We start from the raw sequence: 15,142 nt of genomic DNA on the forward strand, positions 1-15,142 counted from the left end.
CCTGTGAGATTTTGGCATTATTTGTCTTTTTGTGCCTTGATTATTTCACTTAACATGATACCCTCCAAGTTTATCTATGTCGTCACAAATAGCAAGATATCCCTCTTTTTTAAGGCTGAGTAGTGTTCCATTTTGTGTAAGTACCACATTACCTTCATCCAATGATAAATACATAGGTGGTTTATATATCTTGACTACTGTGAGTAATACTGCAATGAACATGGGAGTGCAGACATCTCTCTGACATATAGATTTCATTTCTTTTGGATATATACCCAGTAGTGGGATTGCTGGATCGTATGGTACTTCCATTTTTAATTTTTTGAGAAACCTTCATACTGTTTTTGATAATGGCTATACTAATTTTCATTTCAGCATGTGCAAGAGTCCCCTTTTCTCCACATCCTTGTCATAGCTTATCTTTTTTCTTTTTGATAACAGACATTCCAACAGCCATGCGAGGATACTGTGGTTTTATTTTGCATTTTTCTGATGATTTGTGCCTTAGTCCATTTGTGCAGCTATAACGGAATACCTGAACCTAGGTAATTTATAAAGAATAGAGACATATTTCTTACAGTTCCGGTGGCTAGAAAGTTGAAGTCTTCCCGACTGGTGAGGGCCTTCCTTCACCAAATGTGAAGCATCTTTCACCATCTGGTGAGCGTCATCCCATGGTGAAAAGTGGAAGAACAAGATAGTGTGAAAGCATGTACATGTGAGAGAAGGGGACCCAAACTCATTGTATTTATCAGGAACTCACCCCATCAATAATGGCATTAATTCATTAATGAGGACAGGACCCTCATGACCTAATCATTTCTTAAAGGTTCCACCTCTCAACACTGTTGCATTGGAGATTAAGTTTCCAACACACGAACTTTAGGGAACACATTCGAACCATAGCATTTAGTGATGTTAAACATTCTTTAATATACCTGTGGGTCATTTGCATATCCTATTTAGAGAATGTCTATTCAGGTGCTTTTCTTATTTTAAAAGCAAGTTATTTTGTTGTCTTGCTTTTAAGTTGTTTGAATTCCTTATATATTTTGAATATTCCTTAACAGATGTACAATTTGCAAATATTTTATCCCATTCTCTGTGTAGTCTCCTTACTTTGCTGATTGTTCCTTTGTTGTGTGGGAGCTTTATAAATTGATGTATTCTCATTTGTCTATTTTTGGTAGTGTTACCTCTGTTTTTGGGATCATCTCCAAAAAAATCATTGCCCGGTACAGTCCTTAAAGATTCATCATTAAGATTTTTGAAAATATGCAGTATATGAGGGGCATTTAAATAACCTATAAATTTGTCTTTAGCAGTGAAGCAGCATCAATGGTTCTGTCAACCAGCTTTGATTATTCCAAAGAACTTAGAAGTGCAAAGAGGAGTCAGTCTATGAATAAAATCTAAGCCATGACCTTAATAGTAAACTCTTATTTAATGACAGCTTATCATATTTATTGCATTACAATGGAATACCACGATTACAATACTGGGGTGAAATAGAGATCAGCGGTTCTTTTTGTCCTAAGGCTAGAATTTGGAAAGTGCTATGATGGGATAAGTATTGGTTACAGATATTATGGCAGTGATGGCCTGTCTAGAGCAGCTGCTGCCATGATGCTGGCTGCAGTGGGGGAGGTGCAGCCAGCATCATGAGGTGGGAGCCCTGCCCCCTTCTGAGTTCGTGGGCAGGAGTCCTGCACTTCATGATGCAGCTGCAGCCACCCAGCCATGGCTGTGGACCTGGGCATCACTCTGCTCTTGGGGGCCCAGGAGGCCTCTTGCCCCTGCAGGCTTGAAAGTGCCTGCTCTCACTCCCTGCACCTGCTCAAATTTTGGAGCAAAATTGAAGCTGACCCCTGGTGCGATTACAACCCAGCCAGGTGTGCATGTACTCAAGGTGGCACTGACACACCAGCCCCCTGCCACCTTGGCCCTCTCTGGATTTTGGGTGATAATGAGTACAGGAGGGAAGACAAGGGTGGCTTCATATGGACCTGCAGGCACCCCTCAGCATGAACAGCCTAGGTACCATGGACAACATGATTGATGGTGGCAAGAGGCAGGCAGGCTCCTGGGCAGAAAAGGGAAGGTCCTTGGCAAAGCCCCACCTTCAAGCCAGGGATGGCCTGAAGCCTAGAGGTTTGGCTGCCAGTTCTATGAACTGGAGTGAGAACTTATGGTGCTTTTCCAGGCCCACCCATGGAGCACATGGACAGATCAGCATGGACTTCATCCCCTCTGAAGCCCATAAAAATCCTGGAGTCAGCCGCAACTTGGGGATACGACCTGCCTGTGGGAAGGAGCTACCCACTCTGGCTCTCGTCTTGGCTGTGAGCTGCACACTTGTACGGATGACCTGCCTGTGGAAAGGAGCTGTCCTTTGTATGTCTCCTGGGAACTGTTCAACTGCTCAATGAAGCTCCTCTCTACCTTGCTCACCCTCCAGTTGTCCGTGTACTTTGTTCTTCCTGGATACAGGACAAAAACTCAGGACCTGCCAAATGGCAGGACTAAAAGAGCTGTAACAGAAACAGGGCTGAAACATGCTCCCCACCACATCCCGCTCACCACATCGTAGGCAATGGGGACAGACGAGTTGTAGCCTTTCATGGAGCACAGACCTAGGGGATCCCTGAGCCAGGGCTGTGACACCCTCTGTGGAGTTCTATGGTTCTTGGCATCTCCAAGCTTCCGAATGCTACTGCATTTCCCTTGTCCAGATATGGATGCCTGCAGCAGAAGCTGTATGTAGCACATCTGGTCCAGCTGCAGCCTTGCACAGAGCCATCACCTGTGTTGGCATCTGGAGCTGCCTGCCCTCTGCAGCAGCTAGCCTGTCTGGCTGTGCGCAATGGCTGGGCCCCATTCTCACTCATTTACACACCTCTCACCACTCTGTGCCTGGCTCGCCCTTGGCAGGTGTGGGATCTGGGCTGGTAACAAGACCTGAGCACAGCCTGCTGGGCCGAGTGGGTGGAACAAGCCCAGTGGGCATGAGCAATACTTAGGCAGAAGGCGCCACCAGCCACAGAGGTTTCCAGCTGGTGAAGTGACACCTCAAGGATCCTGTGACACAGAGAAACAGCAGTCGAATCTCACTGGGAACATAAGGAATGCTTCAGTGAGTGACTCCTGCCAGAGTTAGATTTCGAGAAGCATAGGAGATGGTTAGACGGAGAGGGGTTAATTTCCTAGCAAAGAGTGCTAGCAGTATATGAAAAGTAGGAGAATAGGAAACAATTCTAGAAACAGTAGGATGTGTTGAGAGGTGGAAAACAAGGACCAATATTGGGAGCCACCTAAAAATGGGATGAATTCCCTATTAACCAAGTGTGAAATAAATTCACTTTGAAATGACAGAGATGTCTTCATTAACTGAGAAAGTAAAAGCTTCATTTTGGGGCTCTTATCGGAGTAGAAGGAAGCCTCCTCAGTTTGAGGCATGGAAGAAAGGAAAACAGTCTCAATCACAAGCTCTGGATGTCAAAAACATTAGGGTGGTAGACACACATCAGGGCCTTCCTGGCACCAGGGCTCTGCAGTCCACCTTCCAGCTTCCATTTAAAATAGGGTTTCTAGAGAGGGATCATGGTGGATGGGAGACAGAACTAGATTGCAGCTCCAACTCAGGTGGACAGAGCAGTGTGTGAAGGCTTGCATAGTGAATTTTTGCTTCAGAATGACTGCAGGAATAAATCAGGAAATGTGAGAGGAACTACAGACCCTCTGAGGGAAGCAAATTGCTCTTTCAGGGCCTGGGAGACACCCCAAATACTGTGAGTGCCCAAACTGTGGAAACGGGAAAGGGAGGTCATCTGTCCCTGACACACATCCCTACTGGGGAGACCGAAGGTCTAGATTATGGGAGACTATTCTGACCTTACTTGGAGCTGGGTCAATTTAGAGAGCTGAGCAAAATACAGGGGTAGAGGAAGCAGTGGAAAAAGCCCTGTGAGCTTGCTGGGTTCCCTGGCAACCCATTTCTGCCTGGCCTTAGAGAGGTCCTTAAGAAAGGTGGCCAGAGATACTGGGAAAAGGCCACAGGGAGAAGGAAACCTTGAGCTGAACTTTGAAGTGATCCAGAAGTATCCTGGCCAGAGCTTGGGGGAGGGCACGAATCTGGTGTGCAGAGTCCACAGGTGGGGGAAGAAGAAAGAAAAGCCATACTTGCTTTCACAGCTGAGAGGTGGGTAGACTGGGGCAAGTTCTCAGTCCTGCTCACTCGCTACCTGGAAACAGACTCAGTGCTGTTGGTGAGGACATCATGAGAGAGAGACCAGCCCTTCGGATGTGTGGGAGCTGGGTGAGGCCTGTGACTGCAGGCTTTCCTGCACTTCCCTGACAACTTGCATGACATAGCAAAGACAGCCATAATCCTCCTAGGAACATAACTCTATTTACCTGGGAACCTCACCCCCATCCTCCACAGCAGCTGCAGCTGCAGCAAGACCTGCCCAAAAAGAGTCTGAGCTCAGACATGCCTAGCTCTGCCCCCACCCACTGGTCCTTCCCTACCCACCCTGGTAACTAAAGACAAAGGGCATATAGTTTTGAGAGTTCCAGGGCCCCACCCACCACGTGTTGCTCCCCATGCTACCACAACTGATGCTCTCTGGAAAGCGCCACCTCCCAGCAGGGGGCCAACCAGCACAAAAATAGTGCATTAAACCACCAAAGCTAAGAACCCTCACAGAGTCCCTTTTGCCCCCCTCCCATCTCCACTGGAACAGGTGCTGGTATCCACGGCTGAGAGACCCATGGACAGTTCATATCACAGGACTCTGTGCAGACAAACCCCAGTACCAGCCTGGAGCCTGGTGGACTTGCTGGGTGATTAGATGCAGATGAGAGATAACAAACGCAACAGCTCAGCTCTCAGAAGCTACATCCATAGGAAGAGGGGGAGAGTATTACATCAAGGGAACACCCCATGGGACAAAACAATCTGAACAACAACCTTCAGCCCTAGACCTTCTCTCTGACAGAGCCAACCCAAATGAGAAGGAACCAGAAAACCAACTCTGGTAATATGACAGAACAAGGTTCTCTAACACTCCACTAAAATCACACTAGCTCAACGGCAATGGATTGAAACCAAGAAGAAATCCCTGATTTACCTGAAAAAAATTTCAGGAGGTTAGTTATTAAGCTAATCAGGGAGGCACCAGAGAAAGTCAAAGCCCATGTAAGGAAATACAAAAAATGCTACAAGAAGTGAAGGGACAAATATTCAAGGATATAGATAACATAAATTAAAAAAATCAAAACTCCAGGAAACAATGGACACACTTATAGAAATGCAAATGCTCAGGAATGTCACAACAATAGAATTGAACAAGTAGAAGAAAGAAATTCAGAGCTCAAAGACAAGGTCTTCAAATTAACCCAATCCACCAAAGATAAAGAAAAAAGAATAAAAATATATGAATAAATCTCCAGTAAATCTGGGATTATGTTAGACAACCAAACCTAAGAATGATCAGCATTCCTAGGGAAGAAGAGAAATCTAAAAATTTGGCAAATATATTTGGAGGAATAACCAAGGAAAACTTCCCTGGCCTTGCAAGAGACCTAGATATCCAAATACTTGAAACACACACACGCAAAAAAAACCTGGGAAATTCGTCACAAAAAGATCATTGCCTAGGCACAATGTCAACAGGTTATCTAAAGTTAAGATGATGGAAACAATCTTAAGAGCTATAAGACAAAAGCACCAGGTAACTTATAAAGGAAAACTTACCAGATTAACAGCATATTTCTCAGCAGAAATCCTACAAGCTAGAAGGGATTGAGGCCCTATCTCCACCCTCCACAAACAAAACAATTACAAGCTGTGAATTTTGTATCCAGCAAAGCTAAGATTCATATATGAAGGAAAGATACAGTCTTCTTCAGATTAACAAATGCTGAGAGAATTTGTCACTACCAAGCCACCACTATAAGAACTGCTAAAAATTCCTGGGCAAGATTGCCAAATAGGAATAGCTCTGGTCTGCAGCTTCCAGCAAGATCAATGCAGAAGGCGGGTGCTTTCTACATTTCCAACAGAGGTACCAGGCTCATCTCATTGGGACTGCTTAGACAGTGGGTACAGCCCACTGAGGGCAAGCAGAAGTAGGGTGAGGCGTCACCTCACTGGGGAAGCAGAAGCAGGGTGGGACGTCACCTCACTGGGGAAGTGCAGGGGGTAGAGGAACTCCCTCCTCTAGCCAAGGGAAGCCATGAGGGACTGTGCCATGAGGAATGGTGCACTCTGGCCCAGATACTATGCTTTTCCAATAGTCTTTGCAATGCTCAAACAGGAGATTCCCTCAGGTGCCTACACTACCAGGGCCCTGGGTTTCAAGCACAAAACTGGTTGGCCATTTGGGCAGGCACCAAGATAGCTGCAGGAGATTTTTTTCATATCCCAGTGGCACCTGGAACACCAACGAGACAGAACTGTTTACTCTCCTGGGAAGGGGGCGGAAGCCAGGGAGCCGAGTGGTCTAGCTCAGTGGATCCCACACCCATGGAGCCCTTTCAGCTAAGATCCACTGGCTTGAAACTCTCACAGCCAGCACAGCAGTCTGAAGTCAACCTGAGACATTCAAGCTTGGTGGAGGGAGGCGCGTTGTGTTGGCCATTACTGAGGCTTGAGTAGGTGGATTTCCCCTCACAGTGTAAACAAAGCTGCCAGAAAAGTTCAAAATGGGTAGATCCCACTGCAGCTATACAGCCACTGTATCCAGACTGCCTCTCTTGATTCCTTCTATCTGGGCAGCGCATCTCTGAAAGAAAGGAAGCAGCCCCAGTCAGGGGCTTATAGATAAACTCCCATCTCCCTGGGATGGAGCAACTGGGGGAAGGGGCAACTGTGGGCGCAGCATCAGCAGACTTAAACGTTCCTGCCTGCCAGCTCTGAAAAGAGCAGCGAATCTCCCAGCACAGTGCTCGAGCTCCGCTAAGGGACAGACGGCCTCCTTGAGTGGGTCCCTCACCCCCGTACCTCCTGACAGGGAGACACCTCCCAGTAGGGGTCAATAGACACCTCATAGATAAGAGCTTTGGCTGGCATCTGGTGGGTGCCCTCCGGGATGAAGCTTCCAGAGGAAGGAACGGGTAACAATCTTTGCTGTTCTGCAGCCTCCGATGGTGATACACAGGCAAACAGGGCCTGGAGTGGACCTCCAGCAAATTCCAGCAGACCTGCAGCACAGGGACCTGACTGTGAAAAGGGAAAATAAACAGAAAGGAATAGCAAAACATAAACAAAAAGGACATCCACACATAAACCACATCCGAAGGTTACCAACATCAGAGAACAAATGTAGATAAATTGAAGAAGATGAGGAAAAACCAGCACAAAAAGATTGAAAATTCCAAAAACCAGAAAGCCACTTATCCTCCAAAGGATCACAATTCCTCACCAGCAAGGGAGCAAAACTGAATGGAGAATGAGTTTGACAAATTGACAGAAGTAGGCTTCAGAAAGTGGGTAATAACAAACTCCTCCAAGCTAAAGGAGCATGTTCTAATCCAATGCAAGGAAGCTAAGACTTGAAAAAAAGGTTAGAGGAATTACTAATTAGAATAACCAGGTTAGAGAAGAACATAAATGACATGATGGAGCTGAAAAAAACAACATGAGAACTTCATGAAGGATACAAAAGTATCAATCGCTGAATCAATCAAGCAGAAGAAAGGATATCAGAAATTGAAGATCAACTTAATGAAATAAAGTGTGGAGACAAGATTAGAGAAAAAAGAAAAAAAAAGGAATGAACAAAGCCTCCAAAAAATATAAAACTATGTGAAAAGACAAAACCTACATTTGTTTGGTGTACCTGAAAGTGACAGGGAGAATGGAGCCAAGTTGTAAAACACCCTTCAGGATATTATCCAGAACTTCCCCATTTACTAGCAGGGCAGGCCAACATTCAAATTCTGGAAATACAGAGAACACCACAAAGATACTCCTGGAGAAGAGCAACCTCAAGACACATAATCATCAGATTCACCAAGGATGAAATGAGAGAAAAAATGTTAAGGGCAGCCAGAGAGAAAGTTCAGGTTACCAACAAAGGGAAGCCCATCAGACCAACAGCAGATCTCTCTGCAGAAACCCTCCATGGCAGAAGAGAGTGGGGCCCAATATCCAGCATTCTTAAAGAAAAGAATTTTCAACCCAGAATTTCATATCATGCCAAACTAAGCTTCATAATTGAAGGATAAATAAAATTCTTTAAAGACAAGCAAATACTGAAAGATTTTGTCACCACCAGGCCTGCTTTAAAAGAGCTCCTGAAGGAAGCACTAAATATGGAAAGGAAAAACCAGTACCAGTCACTGCAAAAACATACCAAATTGTAAAGACCATCAACACTATGAAGAAACTGCATGAACTAACAGGCAAAATAACCAGCTAGCATCATAATGACAGGATCAAATCCACACATAACAATATTAACCTTAAATTTAAATGGGCTAAATGCCCCAATTAAAAGACACAGACTGGCAAATTGGGTAAGAAGTCAAGACCCATCGGTGTGCTGTATTCAGGAGACCCATCTCACGTGCAAAGACACACATAGGCTCAAAATGAAGGGTTGGAGGAACATTTACCAAGCAAATGGAAAGCAAAAACAAAACAAAACAAAACAAAAAACAAAACAAAACAAAAAACCCTCATGTGCTGCAATCCTAGCCTCTGATAAAACAGACTTTAAACCAACAAAGATTAAAAAAAGACAAAGAAGGGAATTACATAATGGTAAAGGGATCAATGCAAGAAGAGGAGCTAACTCTCCTAAATTTATATGCACCCAATACAGGAGCACTCAGATTCATAAAGCAAGTTCTTAGAGACCTACAGAGAGACTTAGACACCCACACAATAATAGTGGGAGACTTTAACACCCCACTGTCAGTATTAGACAGACAAACGAGACAGAAAATTAACAAGGATATTCATGACTTGAACTCAGCTCTGGACCAAGCAGACGTAATAGACATCTACAGGACTCCACCCCAGATCAACAGAGTATAAATTCTTCTCAGCACCACATTGTACTTATTCTAAAATTGACCACATAACTGGAAGTAAAACACTCCTCAGCAAATGCAAAAGGACAGAAATCATAATAGTCTCTCAGACCACATTGCAATCAAATTAGAACTCAGGATTAGAAACTCATGAAAAACCACACAACTACATGGAAACTGAACAACCTGCTTCCGAATGACTATGGGGTAAATAACAAAATGAAGGCAGAAATAAAGAAGTTCTAAATCAATGAGAAAAAAACACAACATACCAGAATCTCTGGGACACAGCTAAAGTCATGCTTAGAGGGAAATTTACAGCACTAAATGCCCACAGGAGAAAGCAGGAAAGATCTAAAATAAACAGCCTAGCATCACAATTAAAAGAACTAGAAAAGCAAGAGCAAACAAATTCAAAAGCTAGCAGAAAGCAAGAAATAACTAAGATCAGAGCAGAACAGAAAGAGGTAGAGACACGAAAATCCCTTCAAAAAATCAATGAATCCAGGAGCTGGTTTTTTGAAAAGATTAACAAAATGGATAGATTGCTAGCTTGATTAATACAGGAGAAAAGAGAGAAGAATCAAATAGACACAATAAAAAATGATAAAGGGGATATCACCACTGATCACATGGAAATACAAACTACCATCAGAGAATACTACGAACACCTCTACACAAATAAACTAGAAAATCTAGAAGAAATTGATAAATTCCTAGACACATACACCTTTCCAAGACTAAACCAAGAAGAAGTCGAATCCCTGAATAGAACAATAACAATTTCTGAAATCGAGAAAGTAATTAATAGCCTACCAACTAAAAAAAGCCCAGGACCAGACGGATTCACAGCTGAATTCCATGAGAGGTAGAAAGAGGAGCTGATATCATTCCTTCTGAAAATATTCCAAGCAATAGAAAAAGACAGACTCCTCCCTAACTCATTTTATGAAGCCAGCATTATCCTGATACCAAAACCTGGCAGAGACAACAAAAAAAGAAAATTTCAGGCCAATATCCCTGATGAGCATCGATGCAAAAATCTTCAATAAACACTGGCAAACTGAATCCAGCAGCACAACAAAAAGCTTATCCACCAAAGAGAACAAATTTAAAAACTACATGATTATCTCAATAGATGCAGAAAGACGTTTGATAAAGTTCAACACCCCTACATGCTAAAAACTCTCAATAAACTAGGTATTGATGGAAGGTATTTCCAAATAATAAGAACTATTTGTGACAAACCCATAGCCAATATCATACTGAATGGGCAAAAGCTGGAGGCATTCCCTCTGAAAACCAGCACAAGACAAGGATGCCCTCTCTCACCACTCCTATTCAACATATTATTGGAAGTTCTGGCCAGGGCAATCAGGCAAGATAAGGAAATAAAGGGTATTTAAATGGAAAGAGAGGAAGTCAAAATGCCTCTGTTTGCAGATGACATGATTGTATATTTAGAAAACTTCATCATCTCAGCCCCAAATCTGTTTAAGTTGGTAAGCAACTTCAGCAAAGCCTTAGGATGCAAAGTCACTGTGCAAAATCACAAGCATTCCTAAACACCAATAACAGATTAACAGAGAGTCAAATCATGAGTGAACTCCCATTCACAACTGCTACAAAGAGAATAAAATACCTAGGAATACAACTTACAAGGGATGTGAAGGACCTCTTCAAGAAGAACTACAAACCACTGCTCAAGGAAGTAAGAGAGGACACAAACAAATGGAAAAACATTCCATGCTCATGGATAGGAAGAATCAATATTGTGAACATGGCCATACTGCCCAAAGGAATTTATAGATTCAATGCTATATCCATCAAGCTACCAATGACTTTCTTCACAGAATTAGAAAAAATACTTTAAATTTCATATTGAATCTAAAACAAGCTTCTATAGCCAAGACAATTCTAAGCAAAAAGAACAAAGCTGGCAGCATTATGCTACCTGACTTCAAACTATACTACAAGGCTCCAGTAACCAAAACAGCATGGTACTGGTACCAAAACAGATATATAGACCAATGGAACAGAACAGAAGCCTCAGAAATAAAGCCACACATCTACAATCATCAGATCTTTGACAAACCTGACAAAAACAAGCAATGGGGAAATGATTCCCTATTTAATAAATGGTGTTGGGAAACTGACTAGCCATATGCAGAAAACTGAAGCTGGATCCCTTCCTTACACCTTTTACAAAAATAACTCAAGAGGAATTAAAGAATTAAACATAAGACCTAAAGGCATTAACATCCTAGAAGAAAACCTAGGCAATACCACTCAGGACATAGGCATTGGCAAAGACTTCATGACTAAAACACCAAAACCAATGGCAACAAAAGCCAAGATTGACAAATGGGATCTAAATAAAGAGCTCCTGCACAGCAAAATAAACTCTCATCGGAGTGAACAGGCAACTTTACAGGATGGGAGAAATTTTTTGCAATCTATTCATCTGACAAAGGGTGAATAATATCCAGAATCTACAAAGAACTCAAACAAATTTACAAGAAAAAAAACAACCCCATCAAAAAGTGGGTGAAGGATATGAACAGACACTTCTCAAAAGAAGACATTTATACAGCCAACAAACATATGAAAAAATGCTCATCATCACTGGTCATTAGAAAAATGCAAATCAAAACCACAATGAGATACCATCTCACGCCAGTTAGCATGGCAGTCATTAAAAAGTTAGGAAACAACAGATGCTGGAGAGGATGTGGAGAAATAGGAACACTTTTACACTGTTGGTGGGAGTAAATTATTTCAACCATTGTGAAAGACAGTGTGGTGATTCCTCAAGGATCTAGAACCAGAAATACCACTTGACCCAGTATTCTTATTACTGGGTCTATACCCAAAGGATTATAAATCATGCTGCTATAAAGGCACATGCACACATATGTTTATTGCAGCACTATTCACAATAGCAAAGATTTGGAACCAACCCAAATGTCCTTCAATGATAGACTGGATAAAGAAAATGTGGCACATGTACACCATGGAATACTATATAGCCATAGAAAAGGATAAGTTCATGTCCTTTGCAGGAATATGGATGAAGCTGGAAACCATTTTCAGCAAACTAACACAGGAACAGAAAACCAAACACCACAAATTCTCACTCATAGTGGGAGTTTAACAATGAGAACAAATGGACACAGGGAGGGGAACATCACACACCAGGGCCTGTCAGGGGGTGGGGGGCTAGGGGAAGGGATAGCATTAGGAGAAATACCTAATGCAGGTGATGGATTGATGGGTGCAGCAAACCACCATGGCACATGTTTACCCATGTAACAAAACTGCATGTTCTGCACATGTATCCCAGAACTTACAGTATTAAAAAAAAAAAAAAGCAACTGCTAAAAAGAGCCCTAAACCTTGAAACAAATCCAGGAAAAACATCAAAACAGAATGTCTTTAAAGCATAAATCTAACAGGGTCTATAAAACAAAAATACAACTTAAAAAACAAGACAAAAACCAAGGTATACAAGCAAATAGCACGATGAATGGAATGGCACATCACATCTCAATACTAACATTGAATTTAAACTGCCTAAATGCTCCGCTTAAAAGATACAGGATTGCAGAATGGATAAGAATTCACCAACCCACTATCTGCTGCTTTCAAGAGATATACCTAACACATAAGGACTCACACAAACTTAAGGTAAAGACTTGGAAATAGATATTTCATGCAAATAGACACCAAAAGTGAGTGGGAGTAGCTATTCTTATATCAGACAAAACAAACTTTAAAGCAACAGCAGTTAAAAAAGACAAAGGGGGACATTATATAATGATGAACAGCCTTGTCCAACAGGAAAATATCACAATCCTAAACATACATGCACCTAACACTGGAGCTCCCAATTTCATAAAACAGCTACCAATAGACCTAAGAAGTGAGATAGACAGGAACACAATAACAATGGGGGACTTTAATACTCCACTTATAGCACTGGACAGGTCATCAAGATAGAAAATCAACAAAGAAACAATGGATTTAAACTATATCCTGGGACAAATGGACATAACATATATATACAGAATGTTCCATCCAAAAACTACAGAATATACATTCTGTTCAACAGTGCATGGAAATTTTTCCAAGATAGATCATATGATAGGCCACAAAATGAGCATCAAGAAATTTATGAAAATTGAAATTATATCAAGCACTGTCTCAGATCACAGTGGAATAAAACTGGAAATTAACTCCAAAAGAAGTCTTCAAAACCATGCAAATACATGAAAGTTAAACAACTGGCTCCTGAATGACCACTGGGTCAAAAATGAAATCAAGACGGAAATTAACAATTTTTTTGAACTGAATGACAATAGTGACACAGTCTATCAAAACCTCTGGAATACAGCAAATGCACTGCTAAGAGGAAAGTTCATAGACATAAACACCTACATCAAAAAGTCAGAAAGAGCACAAACAGACAATCTAAGGTCACACTTCAAGCAAATAGAGAAACAAGAACAAACCAAACCCCAACCCAGCAGAATAAAGACAATAACCAAGATCAGAACAGAACTAAATGAACTTGAAACAAAGAAACAAACAAAAACAATACAAAAGATAAACAAAATCTGGTTCTTTGAAAAGATCAATAAAATTGATAGATCATTAGCATGATCAACCAAGAAGAGAGAAAATCCAAATAAGCTCAATAAGAAATGAAATGGGAGATATTACAACTGACACCATAGAAATAAAGATTATCCAAGGCTACTATAAACACCTTTATGCACATAAACCACAAGACCTAGAAGAGATGGATAAATTCCTGGAAAGATAGAACCCTCCTAGCTTAAATCAGGAAGAATTAGATACCCTGAACAGACCAATAACAAGCAGCAAGATTGAAATGGTAATTAAAAAATTACAGGGGGGAGGAGCCAAGATGGCCGAATAGGAACAGCTCCGGTCTACAGCTCCCAGCGTGAGCGACGCAGAAGACAGGTGATTTCTGCATTTCCATCTGAGGTACCAGGTTCATCTCACTAGGGAGTGCCAGACAGTGGGTGCAGGTCAGTGGGTGCGTGCACTGTGCGCGAGCCGAAGCAGGGCGAGCATTGCCTCACTCAGGAAGTGCACAGGGTCAGGGAGTTCCCTTTCCTAGTCAAAGAAAGGGGTGACGGACGGCACCTGGAAAATCAAGTCACTCCCACCAGAATACTGCGCTTTTCTGACGGGCTTAAAAAACGGCGCACCACGAGATTATATTCCGCACCTGGCTCTGAGGATCCTATGCCCACTGAGTCTCGCTGATTGCTAGCACAGCAGTCTGAGATCAAACTGCAAGGCAGCAGTGAGGCTGGGGGAGGGGCGCCCGCCATTGCCCAGGCTTGCTTAGGTAAACAAAGCAGCCGGGTAGCTCGAACTGGGTGGAGCCCACCACAGCTCAAGGAGGCCTGCATCTGTAGGCTCCACCTCTGGGGGCAGGGCACAGACAAACAAAAAGACAGCAGTAACCTCTGCAGACTTAAATGTCCCTGTCTGACAGCCTTGAAGAGAGCAGTGGTTCTCCCAGTACACAGCTGGAGATCTGAGAACAGGCAGACCGCCTCCTCAAGTGGGTCCCTGACCCCTGACCCCTGAGCAGCCTAACTGGGAGGCACCCCCAGCAGGGGCACACTGAAATCTCACACGGCCGGGTACTCCAACAGACCTGCAGCTGAGGGTCCTGTCTGTTAGAAGGAAAACTAACAAACAGAAAGGACATCCACACCAAAAACCCATCTGTACATCACCATCATCAAAGACCAAAAGTAGATAAAACCACAAAGATGGGGAAAAAACAGAGCAGAAAAACTGGAAACTCTAAAAAGCAGAGCACCTCTCCTCCTCCAAAGGAACACAGTTCCTCACCAGCAATGGAACAAAGTTGGATGGAGAATGACTTTGTGGAGCTGAGAGGAGAAAGCTTCAGACGATCAAATTACTCAGAGCTACGGGAGGGCATTCAAACCAAAGGCAAAGAAGTTGAAAACTTTGAAAAAAATTTAGAAGAATGTATAACTAGAATAACCAATGCAGAGAAGCACTTAAAGGACCTGATGGAGCTGAAAACCAA

The 15,142-nt window shown here is 42.7% G+C and overlaps 1 annotated feature.

The window, feature by feature from the left end:
- Positions 14,191 to 14,728: an enhancer, noted in NCBI's record as "H3K27ac-H3K4me1 hESC enhancer chr2:184714487-184715024 (GRCh37/hg19 assembly coordinates)". NCBI's record gives its function as "activates a minimal SCP1, AML or CMV promoter by ChIP-STARR-seq in naive H9 embryonic stem cells {active_cell/tissue: H9 hESC(naive)}" and the evidence as "EXISTENCE:reporter gene assay evidence [ECO:0000049][PMID:30033119]".

Source organism: Homo sapiens, chromosome 2 (genome assembly GCF_000001405.40).
Source record: "Homo sapiens chromosome 2, GRCh38.p14 Primary Assembly".
NCBI lineage: Eukaryota > Metazoa > Chordata > Mammalia > Primates > Hominidae > Homo > Homo sapiens.